Source organism: Homo sapiens, chromosome 14 (assembly GCF_000001405.40).
Source record: "Homo sapiens chromosome 14, GRCh38.p14 Primary Assembly".
Classification (NCBI taxonomy): Eukaryota; Metazoa; Chordata; class Mammalia; order Primates; family Hominidae; genus Homo; species Homo sapiens.
Genome location: NC_000014.9, coordinates 91,049,339 through 91,061,544, shown reverse-complemented (window position 1 = coordinate 91,061,544; position 12,206 = coordinate 91,049,339). Strand labels below are relative to the sequence as shown.

At 44.3% G+C, this 12,206-nt stretch overlaps 2 protein-coding genes across 17 annotated transcripts in view, besides 5 other annotated features; one reads left to right on the top strand and one right to left on the bottom strand.

The window, feature by feature from the left end:
- Window positions 1–1,212, bottom strand: part of DGLUCY (D-glutamate cyclase) — a 165,300-nt gene extending 164,088 nt beyond the window's left edge. For 2 of the 3 annotated variants that reach the window (NM_001358310.2, NM_001358311.2), the window contains exon 1: window positions 841–1,212. The gene's annotated coding sequence lies outside the window, so the exon portion shown is untranslated. Of the gene's footprint in view, window positions 1–664 lie in introns of all 3 variants that reach the window. The other variant, NM_001358312.2, reaches the window with a different exon arrangement.
- Window positions 402–531: a silencer, noted in NCBI's record as "silent region_6018". NCBI's record gives its function as "represses an Ori minimal core promoter by ATAC-STARR-seq in GM12878 lymphoblastoid cells {active_cell/tissue: GM12878}" and the evidence as "EXISTENCE:reporter gene assay evidence [ECO:0000049][PMID:35858748]".
- Window positions 594–1,174: an enhancer, noted in NCBI's record as "H3K27ac hESC enhancer chr14:91526715-91527295 (GRCh37/hg19 assembly coordinates)". NCBI's record gives its function as "activates a minimal SCP1, AML or CMV promoter by ChIP-STARR-seq in primed H9 embryonic stem cells {active_cell/tissue: H9 hESC(primed)}" and the evidence as "EXISTENCE:reporter gene assay evidence [ECO:0000049][PMID:30033119]".
- Window positions 752–811: a silencer, noted in NCBI's record as "silent region_6017". NCBI's record gives its function as "represses an Ori minimal core promoter by ATAC-STARR-seq in GM12878 lymphoblastoid cells {active_cell/tissue: GM12878}" and the evidence as "EXISTENCE:reporter gene assay evidence [ECO:0000049][PMID:35858748]".
- RPS6KA5 (ribosomal protein S6 kinase A5) overlaps window positions 904–12,206 on the top strand; it is a 212,781-nt gene continuing 201,478 nt past the window's right edge. For 10 of the 14 annotated variants that reach the window (NM_001322232.2, NM_001322228.2, NM_001322236.2 and 7 more), the window contains exon 1: window positions 904–1,213. In NM_001322232.2, the coding sequence (NP_001309161.1) occupies window positions 1,111–1,213 (103 nt within the window). In that variant the 5' untranslated portion in view covers window positions 904–1,110. Of the gene's footprint in view, window positions 1,214–1,420; window positions 1,528–9,082; window positions 9,223–12,206 lie in introns of those variants that run through there. The other 4 variants (NM_001322235.2, NM_001322227.2, NM_001322238.2 and 1 more) reach the window with 2 other exon arrangements.
- Window positions 1,182–1,311: a silencer, noted in NCBI's record as "silent region_6016". NCBI's record gives its function as "represses an Ori minimal core promoter by ATAC-STARR-seq in GM12878 lymphoblastoid cells {active_cell/tissue: GM12878}" and the evidence as "EXISTENCE:reporter gene assay evidence [ECO:0000049][PMID:35858748]".
- Window positions 1,382–1,451: a silencer, noted in NCBI's record as "silent region_6015". NCBI's record gives its function as "represses an Ori minimal core promoter by ATAC-STARR-seq in GM12878 lymphoblastoid cells {active_cell/tissue: GM12878}" and the evidence as "EXISTENCE:reporter gene assay evidence [ECO:0000049][PMID:35858748]".

Below are 12,206 nucleotides of genomic sequence, written 5' to 3'. Positions count from 1 at the left end.
ATTGCCATCCGTGCGAGATTCTCTAACGCTTTGTACGACTGCTTTATTTCAAATTCTGCTTTATAGTTCTTTTGTGTACACACACAGATTGTTTCTCACGTTCTATTGAAAGCTGCTTAGGGGAGGAATTGTATTCTATTTTGTTAATCTCTGCATCCTTTCGGCGCCTAGTAAGAGTCTTGTACGAAACAGAAATGTCTCTCCTTCGTAAAATTCCTCATCGGGAGCTGGGACTGTGAATTTTTGTAACGTTTAAGAACTATCTGTTATTTAAGAACAAACACTCTGCTTAACTTGTTTAGGGTTCACTAGAGCGAGTAAGACCTTTTTAGGGCACGCCGTCTCGCTGGTTGTCACACACGCATGGATCGCTGCCGGGACCCTTAGGTTTGTCTGCAAACACGTGGGTGATAAGCGCTACCCTCCAGGCCCCTCCTCTGTCCACGGTGATTGGCGGACCAAACGTTCCAATCATCCCTCCCCGCCTCTTTCGGCAGTAGCCAATCAGAGACCCCGAGCGCCTCCTGACTACTAGACACTGTTTACTAACAGATCGAAGCTGGGGAATAAGGGGTGTGACCGTTCTGGGGAGGTCAGGGAAGGGAAGGTCTTGACTGCGAGTGCGCACCAGAGGAAATGGGCGGGGCAGAGCTTTGGGTCTCACCAATCGGAGTGGCGGCGCTCCTCCCTCTCCTGCCTCCCCGCCAAGCAACAACAATTCGAGGAGCGAGGCGGGGAGGCTCGTGAAACGTCACAGCGTACTGCCCAATGGGAACCGGCGTTGGCAGACGCGCGCGCCCTGTGTCCAATCAGCGAAGGCGGCTCGAATGGCTCCCTTACCTTGCTGGCTGTGGGCGGAGCGGCCTGAGGAGGCGGCGGTGGAGCAGGGGGCGGTTTGGTTGCGCGGTACTAGCGGTGCCCGCCGAAGGGGGAGGAGGCGAGGAGCGAGCCGTGCGGCCAGAGCGGGAAAGAGACTCGTCTTTGCGTCCGAGTTCTGGAGCCGCCGCACCCCGACTCCTGGGGCCGCGGCAGCGGCTGCGAGGGGACGGGCGTCCGCTGTCTCCTGGGTTCCCCTCGTAGCGACCCGCGGGATCGGAAAAAAAGGAGAAGATGGAGGAGGAGGGTGGCAGCAGCGGCGGCGCCGCGGGGACCAGCGCGGACGGCGGCGACGGAGGAGAGCAGCTCCTCACTGTCAAGCACGAGCTGCGGACTGGTGAGCGACCCCGCCCTCTGCCGGCCGGGCCCGGCGCGGGGGCGCGCCTGAGGGCACGCGGGTGCCCGCGCGGGGCTGGGGGCGCGGGGCCGCAGCCGTGGGCGCGGAGGGGCGGGCCTGGGGCGGGGCGTCGCGGTCGGGGCGCGTGCCCCGGGGGTCCCGGGAGGTGGGGGCGCGCCTTGGGGGAGGCGGCCGAAAGTTTTCCCCAGCCCGGGAATGAGCGGCGGGCACCAGGCATCGGGGCCAGCGCAGCCGCCGACCGCTGCCCGTGGCACGCACCTCCGAGGATGTCGCTGCTCCCCCTTCCCGCACAGGTGACACACGTGTGTCTGCGTCCTGTCAGGGCGAAAGGTGCGCCTGCCTCCGCGTGGGGCGAGCGGCGCTTTGTTTTGGAGAGTGTCTCCCTCCTCCGCCCCTCTGGTCCCCGCGATGGGGGGTCCCGGTGGGGCTCTGTGGAGCCATCCCCTAAGGTGCTGGGGTCCTGTAGGAGATAAACGGGAGGTTTCGCCTCGGGCTTTTACCGAGTCCAGTCTAGAGACAGGAACAGGAATCGCCGGCTCCAGGGATTGAGTGCCTTTATTCTCACTTATCATGAAATACTATACTTGGCCTTGAATTTCCTTCAGAGGTCCCTGGAGATGATGGCTTTAGAAATTTAAAGCTCCAGGTAAAAGGAACTAACGAGCAGGCTTCAGCGCTTACGTTCTAATGTTTGAGATCACTAGCGTTGTCCTAAGCTTTATAACTAATTAAATGTATTCGTGGTGTAGGTTCAGGTTGTTCATTTTGGAAAATGCTTATTCAGACCAATCAGTACAATTTGGATTTATATTCTTGGAGCCCAGTCTCGTATTGTAGATATATTAATACTTTTTTCTCTGAACAGATAGTACATTTTAATGAGTCGTTCGTTATTACTAGATATGTTTGTGAGCGTTGAAGGTTTTTGACAGAGCTGCTTTGGCATATTGGGATTTTTTTTTTTTTTTTTCAGACAGAGTTTCGCTCTTGTTGCTCAGGCTGGAGTGCAGTGGCATGATCTCGGCTCACCGCAGCCTCCGCCTCCCGGGTTCAAGCGATTCTCCTGCCTCAGCCTCCGGAGTAGCTAGGATTACAGGCATGCGCCACCATGCCCGGCTAATTTTGTATTTTTTGTGGGGGCGGGGTGGGGGGGGCGGTCCTCTCCACGTTGGTCAGGCTGGTCGCGAACTCCCGACCTCAAGTGATCCGCCCGCCTCGGCCTCCCAAAGTGCTGGGATTACAGGCGTGAGCCACCGTGCCCGGCCGGGTTATTATTTAATTGTGAAGGCACAAAAGCTTAAACGGCAGGATTCAGGTGTCCACTAGTACATCTTGTTTCTGTTTTGAACAGATTGGAAAGTTAGCTCTGTCCGTCAGTTCTTTCAGTTTTTGTTATTTCTACTGAGATTGCCTATAAGCATTCCATTGGGTGCCAGTGTGGTGACTTAATTCAAGAGAGATGTCAAATTCATGCTTCTTAATTCAACATTTGTAAACATTGTTTTTTTGGTCATTGTGAATCTGTTATACATCTTGAGCCAGCTGTTCCATATTTTTGAGTTCCTAACATAACCTGTATGAATTCAGGTGATTTGGTTTTTCTTCTCTCAATTTCATAGACAACTGATATTTTCAAAAGACCCTGACATGGTTTACTCAGTATACATTTATTCGGATTTGTGCCACACTCAGTGTCAGGTGCTTTCTGGTGTGAAGATTTTGAATTTTTTTCTTGTCTTACATAACGATCCACTGATTTATATGTATGGAATCCTACTGTACAGCAAAAGCTACTTGAAGTCATATGCTTCTCAGCCATCGACTGTGGTGCAACAAGCAGCTTTTTGCTAAATGACCAAGGAGCAACCTGCTTGTTATTAGTAGTTAACCAACTGCTTGGTTTCTGGATTTTGCAAACAATGCTAGTTTTGTAGAAAACAATGAGTACTGCTTTATTTCCCCCTCTCTTCTAACTGTGTGAATCATCAGCTTCAAGTTCGCATTTTAGAAATTTTTCTGATGGATGGTGAGATTATACTGAATTCATTAGTACTGTTAACTGTCAAAGGAAACGAACAATCATTTTGATTTATTACTGAACACTGGAACAACTGACCGGATATAGTGGTCAAAAACACTGTTAAAATATAACTTGAAAGAGTTGCTCATCTTCAGCCAACTGCACTTCTTTCAGCACATGATCTATAATAGGCACCAGAGTAATTTGATCTGATATGGTCCCGTCTCAGAATGTAGATAAGCATCTAGTTATATCAGGCTGGCAGTTGGTGGTGGCTCATTTGTGCAGAACACTTTATTGTATTCCATAGGATGAATGAAAAAGCAAAAAACGTCCCATGAAAGGACATGGAGTTGGAAGACATGATTCTAAATCCCGTCTCTGCAGCTTAATATGTAGACATCGGCAAGTCACTTCACCCTTTCAGATTCACATCTTTAATCTATAAAATGTGAGAATTGAATGAGACACTGTTGGAAAAGTGCTAAGCGGGTTGCTTGGCATATAGTGGGCCCTTAGGAAATGTTGGTTGAATGTATATATAAAAATCATTCCATAATAGTATCTTATCTTGAAGTGTGTGAATTAATCCAGTGTAATTTGGGAAACAAATCACTCATTTAGTGTTTAGCCTATGTCACATTGCCTGGCTGTTATCTTTTTCTGTATATGTCCAGTCTTCTCATGTAGAGTGTAAATTCGCCATAATCTTTGCGGCTGCTCAGCAGCCTGTGTGGATCTCTTCAGTAACAGTTAACACACGGTACTATAATAGTCCATTTACTTGTATTACAGTCTAATACAGATTAGACTGTAAGGTCCTTGAGGGCAGGCAGGCAGGCAGACACCATGTCCTTTGTTTATTTGCAGCCCCTGGCATATAGTAGGTACTTAATATTTGTTGAATGGATTCACTGAATGCATGAGAATCCAGGAGCAAGTCTAGTAAGTTTATTGTATTACCAGTGCCTTGCAGATGTTAGGTGGTTGATAAGTGGATGACAGTGACTGTAAAAGCTGAAGAATGCAGAGTATAGGATTGAACAGATCACTTAAACATACATTTCTTGAATGTATGTCTAAGAAAATGTCCCGCCCTCTAGTAGTAGGGGAGGAGGCCATATAAACCAGTAATTAAGATAATACTGCCTTGGGAGGCTGAGGCGGGTGGATCACGAGGTCAAGAGATGGAGACCATCCTGGACAACCTGGTGAAACCCCATCTCTACTAAAAATACAAAAAATTAGCTGGGCATGGTGGCACGTACCTGTAGTCCCAGCTACTCGGGAGGCTGAGGCAGGAGGTTCTCTTGAACCCAGGAGGCGGAGGTTGCAGTGAGCCGAGATCATGCCATTGCACGCCAGCCTGACAACAGAGCAAGACTCCCATCTCCAAAAAAAAAAAAAAAAAAAAAAAAAAAAAGATAATACTGCCTTAAGTATAACAGTAAAGGGATATTCAAGTATAAAGTTAGCAAAGAATGGGTTAGGACTTTTAGCTTTCAAATAATCAAATCTTCAACAACAATAACAAAAAGGATATTATTGGAAGGAGATTGGGTTATCTTACCCACTTATTTAGTAAGTATTTTATTTCCTCTTACATACTGGGTGCGATTTTAGATGCTTGGATGATAGGACATGTATGGTCTGTCCACTGGAAGAACTGGGTTGCATCAGGAACCATTGGAAGCAGAAACTTAGCATTGTCTGTATTTTGTCCACCTTGAATCTCTGCTTGTCACTATGTGATGGCTTTATTCTTCCCCACTACTGTGCCACTTTTCCCACATGGGAAAGATCATGCTGTTGATAGACTGCAAGTTTTACATCCTACAGCTTCCACTACTGAAAAGACACCGCCGCCTTCTCAGCTTCAGTTATAAAGATCTCAGGGAAGGACTTTTTTGGCCTGCCTTTGGTGAGGTATCCACTTTTGGATCATTCACCTAAAGCCAGGGGATGGGATCATGTTTTTGTAACATGGCAGCAATTTCTGTAAACATGGATAGGGATAAAACTAAACTCTAAGAAGAGGAGGAGTTGCTGGGAAGACATTTACTTAGATGCCTGTTATTAGGAGAGAGAGCCTAACATTGAGGAGAAGGTCGAGGAAGTTTATGTATTGTGGTGTAACAAATTATTCCAAACCTTAGTGGCTTAAACAACATGATTTGTGTGGGTCAGGAATTTAGGAGTGGCTTAGCTTATTGGTTCTTTTTTTTAATCCTAAGTGAATTAACACAGGAAGCTTCTTGATTCTAACTCAGGGACCCTCATGAAGTTGAAGTCAAGGTGTTGGCCAGGACTGCAGTCACCTGAAGACTTGTCTGGGTCTAGTGATTCCCCTTCCGAGATGGCTTACTCACATGTTGGCAGGTTCCTTGCCATGTGGGCCTCTCCATAGCGTGGCTTGAGCATTCTCATGACAGGCAGCTGGTTTCCCCAAAAACAAGTGATCTGAGAGACAGCGAGGTGGAACCTACCATGCCATGTCTTTTGTTGTTGTTTTGTTTTTTTGGAGACGGAATCTATCCAGGCTGGAGTGCAGTGGTGCGATCATGGCTCACTATAATTTCAAACTCCTAGGCTCAAGAGATCCTCCTGCCTCAGCCTCCTGAGTAACTCTGGGACTACGGGCATGCACCACCACACCTGGCTAATTTATTATTTTTTTGTAGAGACAGGATCTCATTATGCTCACACTGGTCTCCAACTCCTGGGCTCAAGAGATCATCCCACCTGGGCCTCCCAAAGTACTGAGATTACGGGTGTGAGCCAACCTGCCCGGCAAAATTAATCCATTTGTAGCATGCATCAGTACTTCATTTTGTTGTTGTTGTTGATAAATTGTGTTCCATTGTATAGATATACCAAGTTTTGTTTATGCATTCACCACTTGTTTGAAATTTGGGTTGTTTCCACCTTTTGGCTATTGTAAATAATGCTGCTTTGCACATTTGTGGACAAGTTTTTGTGTGGACCTATGTTTATTTCTCTTGGGTATGTAACAGCAGTAAAACTGCTGGATCACTTGTTAAAACAAAGCTAAACAAAGTCTGGGTTTACCTTTGTAAGAAACTGCCAAACTGTTGTCCAGAGTGGCTGTATCATTTTATATTCCCATCAGCAATTTATGAGGCCTCCAGTTCCTTCACAGCCTAACCAACATTGTCTGTCTTTTTGCTTATCATAGGGAGTGTGAAGTGATTTTCCATTTCCCTAATGCCTAATGACAAGCATCTTTTCATGTGCTTATTGGCCATTTGTATACCTTTGGAGAAATTTGATTCAGATCCTTTGCCCAGTTTAAAATTGGCTAGTTTGTCTTTTTTTATTATTGAGATATGAGAGTTCTTTATGTATTTTAGGTACATGTCTCTTATCAGGAATATGGATTTGCATATATTTTCCTCCATAAATGAGCTGTCTTTTCACTTTTTTGATGGTTTCCTTAGGAGCACAAAAGTCTTTAATTAAAAAAAAATTTTTTTTTTTAAATAATAGAGATGGGTTCCTGCTATGTTGCCCAGGCTGGTCTCGAACTCCTGGGCTTAAGTGATTCTCCCTCCTCGGCCTCCCAAAGTGTTGGGATTGTAGGTGTGAGCCACTGTGCCTGGCCTAAAAGTCTTTAATTTTTTTTTTTTTTTTTTCTGAGACAGAGTCTTGCTGTGTTGCCCAGGTGGAATGCAGTGGCATGATCTTGCCTCACTGCAACCTCTGCCTCCTGGGTTCCAGCAATTCTCATGCTTCAGCCCCCTGAGTAGCTAGGATTACAGGCGAGTGCCACCATGCCTGGCTAATTTTTGTATTTTCAATAGAGACGAGGTTTCACCATGTTGGCCAGGCTGATCTTGAACTCCTGTCCTCAAGGGATCCACCTGCCTCAGCCTCCCAAAGTGTTGGGATTACAGGTGTGAGCCACCGCTCCTGGCCCTAAAAGTCTTTAATGTTGATGAAACCTTTTTTTTTTCTTTTTCATTTTATTCTTGTGTCTAAGAAATCATTGACTAATTCAAGATTATGAAGATTGATGTCTCTGTTTTCTTCTAAGAGTTTATGGCTTTAGCTGTTACATTTAGATCATTGATCCATTTTAAGGTAATTGCTGGATATCATGTGAGGTAGTGATTCAGACTCATTCTTCTGCATGTAAATATCCAATTGTTCCAGCACCATTAGCTGAAAAGACTATTTTTTTCTCCATTTTAATGTCTTGGCACCCTTATTGAAAATCAGTTGACTATAGATGTATGGGTTTATTTATTTTATACTCTCAGTTCTCTTCCAGTGATCTATATGTCTCTCCTTATAGCAGTACCATGCTGTCTTGACTACTACAGTTTTTTAGTAAGTTTTGAAATTGAGAAGTGTGAGTCTTATTCTTCAACATTGTTTTGGTTATTCTGGATTCCTTGTATTTCCATATGGATTCTAGGATCAGCTTGTTAGTGTCTGCAAAGAAGCCAACTCAGTGGCATTCTGATAGGGATCTCATTGAATTTTTAGTTAAACTTTGGCAGTGTTGCCATCTTAGCAATGTTAAGTCGTCTGATCTATGAACATGAGATGTCTTTCCATTTATTTAGGTTGTCTTCAATTACTTTCAACAACGTTTTTCCGTTTAAGGAGTATAAATTTGCACTTTTGTTAAATTTATTTCTAAGTATTTTATTATTTATTTATTTTTTGATGCTATAGTAAAAGGAACTAGTTTCTTACTTTTATTTTTGGATTGTTCATTCCAAGAGTATAGAGGTACAGTTTTTACCTTGTGTCCTGCAACCTTGGTGAACTAGTTTATTGGTTCTAATAGTTTAGTGGACACCTTAGGATTTTCTATTTATAAGATTGTGTTAGCCATGGATAGAGATAATTTTACTTCTTTCTTTCCAATCCAGATATCTTTTGTTTCAATTTCCTGCTTAATTGCCTTGGCCAGAACCTTCACTATGGTTCAATAGAACTTGCAAGAGCAGACATCCTTGTCTTATTCCTGATCCTAGGGTGAAAGCTTTAGTCTTCTACCACTGAGTATGGGGTTAGCTATGGGTTTTTCATAGATGTATTTTATCAAATTGAAGAATTTCACTTCTCCTCCTAGTTTGGGTGTTTTTTTAAATCATGAAAGAGTGCTGGATTTTGTCAGATGCTTTTTTCTGCATCTATTAAGATGACCATTTTTTTTGTTCTGTTCATATGGTGTATTACATTAATTAACTTTTGAATGTTAAGCCAACCTTGTATTCCTGGGATAAATCTTGTTTGTCATGGTATATAATCCTTTTTCTTTGTTGCTGGATTCAGTTTGCTTGTATTTTATTAAGGATTTGTATCTATATCCATAAGAAATCTTTGTAGTGTTCTTTTTTGGTGATACCTCTGTCTAGTCTCCCCAAAATATTCTTGATTGAGTTCTGTCACCAACTAAAGAGCTTTTTTTTTTTTTTTTTTTTTGGAGATGGAGTCTCGCTCTGTTCCCAGGCTGGAGTACAGTGACGCGAACTCTGCTCACTGCCAGCTCTGCCTCCTGGGTTCACGCCATTTCTCCTGCCTCAGCCTCCCAAGTAGCTGGGACTACAGGCACCTGCCACCACGCCCAGCTAACTTTTTTTTTTTTTTGTACTTTTAGTAGAGACGGGGTTTCATCGTGTTAGCCAGGACGGTCTCGATCTCCTGACCTCATGATCCATCCGCCTTGGCCTCCCAAAGTACTGGGATTACAGGCTTGAGCCACCGCGCTTGCCTAAAGATCTTATCTATTTGATTAGTGGTATCCATATTTACAATCTCTTAAGTAAATCTGTTTTTTTTTTTTTTTTTTTAAGAGACGAGTCTACTCTGTTGCCCAGGCTGGAGTGTGGTGCTGATCTCGGCTCACTATAACCTCCGCCTCCTGGGTTCAAGTGATTCTCCTGCCTCAGCCTCCCAAGTGGCTGGGATTACAGGCACCCACTACCATACCCAGGTAATTTTTTTTTTTTTTTTTTTTTTTTTTTTTTTTTAGTAGAGATGGGGTTTTGCCATGTTGGCCAGGCTGGTCTTGAACTCCTTACCTCAGATGATCCATCTGCCTGGGCCTCCCAAAGTGCTGGGATTACAGGCATGAGCCACTGCATCTGGCCTTAAGTAAAGATTTAACAGAGGTAGGGAGTGGACTGTAGTTCTAAGTCAGCCCCTAATTTGCTATATGACCTGGGATAAGTCATTTTGCCTTTCTGAGCCCAAGTTTTTTGATTCATAAAGTAAAGGTGATGGACTGAGTTATAATCAAAGTATTTACGAGCATTAAAGCTCTTCTGTGGCATTTCCATGGAAATTCTGGTATAGACAAAGTTAGTTCCTTGTCTTTTCCCGATCCTAGGGGGAAGGCTTTAGTCTTCTACCACTGAGTATGAAGTTAGCTGTGAGTTTTTCATAGATGTTCTTTCTCAGGTTGACAAAGTTCTCTTCTATTCCTAGTTGGTTTGGGTGAGCTTTTTCTTTTTTTTTTAAATCTTTCGGCCAGACATGGTGGCTCATGCCTGTAATCCCAGCACTTTGGGAGGCCGAGGCAGGTGGATCACCTGAGGTCAGGAGTTCGAGACCAGCCTGGCCAACATGGTGAAACCCCATCTCTAGTAAAAATACAAAAACTTAGCTGGGCACGGTGGCGGGCACCTGTAATCCCAGCTACTTGGAAGCTGAGGCAGGAGAATTGCTTGAACCTGGGAGGCGGAGGTTGCAGTGAGCTGCGATCGCACCATTGCATTCCAGCCTGGGCAACAACAGCAAAACTCTGTCTCAAAAAAATAAAAAAATAAAAGGATGTTTCATGATAAAAAGTCCAGAGTGGTGATTTACTTTATTGTTGTTGTATTTTAAAATTTCATTTTATTGAGACAGAATCTCACTATGTTGCCCAGGCTGGTCTTGAACTCCTGGGCTCAAGCAGTCTTCCCATCTCTGCCTCCCAAAGTGTGGAGATTACAGGTATGAGCCACCATTCCCGGCTAGTGATTTACTTTATTTATTTATTTATTTATTTATTTATTTATTTATTTATTTTTATTTAGACAGGGTCCCACTCTGTCGCTCAGGCTGGAGTGCAATGGCGTGATCTCAGCTCACTGCAACCACTGCCTCCTGGGTTCAAGTGATCCTCCCACCTCAGCCTCCCAAGTAGCTGGGACTACAAGTGTGTGCCACCACACACCGCCACGCTTAGCTTATTTTTGTATTTTTTGGTAGAGGTGGGGTTTCGCTATGTTGGCCAGGCTGGTCTGGAACTCCTGACCTCACGTGCTCCACCTGCCTCGACCTCCCAAATGGCTGGAATTACAGACATGAGCCACCACACCTGACCCTATGATTTACTTTAAAAGATCATCCTGTTTTACCAAAGGATTCATGTTGGATCTGTTGAAAAACAACAGTTCCCTGCTGCTTTTTGAATGTGGTTCCATTAATAATGATTTGATTTGTAATTAGCTTTTAAGAAACATAACTATTAGTTCCAATAAGATACTTGCTTTTTTTTTATTTTTATTTTTTTAAACAAACATAGCTTACAAAAGCAAGCCGGCTGGGCGCGGTGGCTCACGCCTGTAATCCCAGCACTTTGGGAGGCTGAGGCGGGTGTATCACCTGGGGTCGGGAGTTTGAGACCAGCCTGGCCAACATGGTGAAACCCTGTCTCTACTAAAAATACAAAAATTAGCCAGCCATGGTGGCAGATGCCTATAATCCCAGCTACTTGGGAGGCTTAGGCAAGAGAATTGCTTGAACCTGGGAGGCGGAAGTTGCAGTGAGCCGAGATTGTGCCACTGCACTCCAGCCTGAGGGACAGAGTCAGACTGTGCCAAAAACAAACAAACAAACAAAAAACAAGCCAATAAGATGCTTTGTTTTTGTTTTTGTTTTTGTTATTTTTGAAGATAAGGTCTTCTCTGTTGCCCAGGCTGGAATACAGTGGTGATAATAGTTCACCGCAGCTTCAAACTCTTGGGCTCAAGTGAACCTTCTGCCTCAGCCTCCCAAGTAGCTAGGACTGTAGGCACATACCACCATGCCTGGCTAATTTTCTTTTTATTTTTTGTAGAGATAGGGTCTTGCTATGTTGCCCAGGCTGGCCTTGAACTTCTGGCCTCAAGCAATCCTCCTGCCTCAGCCTCCCAAAGTGCTGAGATTATAGGCAGCCCAGTAAGAAACTTTGAAAGATTTCAGTGACAGTTGTAGTTATGTATGAGTACAGTGCAGCTCTCCTTTTTATACTATACATATGTAAATGTATATATTCATGAGCTGCATAATGACATTTTGGTCAATGGCAGACTGCATGTAGATTGTGGTCAATGAAATTGCGTTACTGTATTTTTACTCTACTCTTTCTCTGGTTAGATACACAAATACTTAAAATTGTTTTACAGTTGCCTATGGTATTCAGTACAGTAGCATGCTGTACAGGCTTATAGCCTTGGAACAATAGGCTATATACCATATACCAGGTGTGTAGTAACCTATACCATCTAGGTTTGTGTAAGTAAACTCTATGGTGTTTGTGCAACCATGAAATCACCTAATGATGTTTCTCAGAACATGTTCTCATTGTTAAGCAACGCATACTGAATATGTGTGTGTTGTGTGTTTGTACTTTTTTTGTAGTACTTGTCTCTTTTTTCTTTTTTCTTTTTTTTTGAGACAGAGTCTTGCTCTGTCGCCCAGGCTGGAATACAGTGGCGAGCTCTCAGCTCACGGCAAGCTCCGCTTCCTTGGTTCACGCCATTCTCCTGCCTCAGCCTCCCGAGTAGCTGGGACTACAGGCGCCCGCCACCATGCCTAGCTAATTTTTTGTATTTTTTAGTAGAGATGGGGTTTCACCGTGTTAGCCAGGATGGTCTCAATCTCCTGACCTTGTGATCCACCCACCTCAGCCTCCCAAAGTGGTGGGATTACAGGCGTGAGCCACCGCGC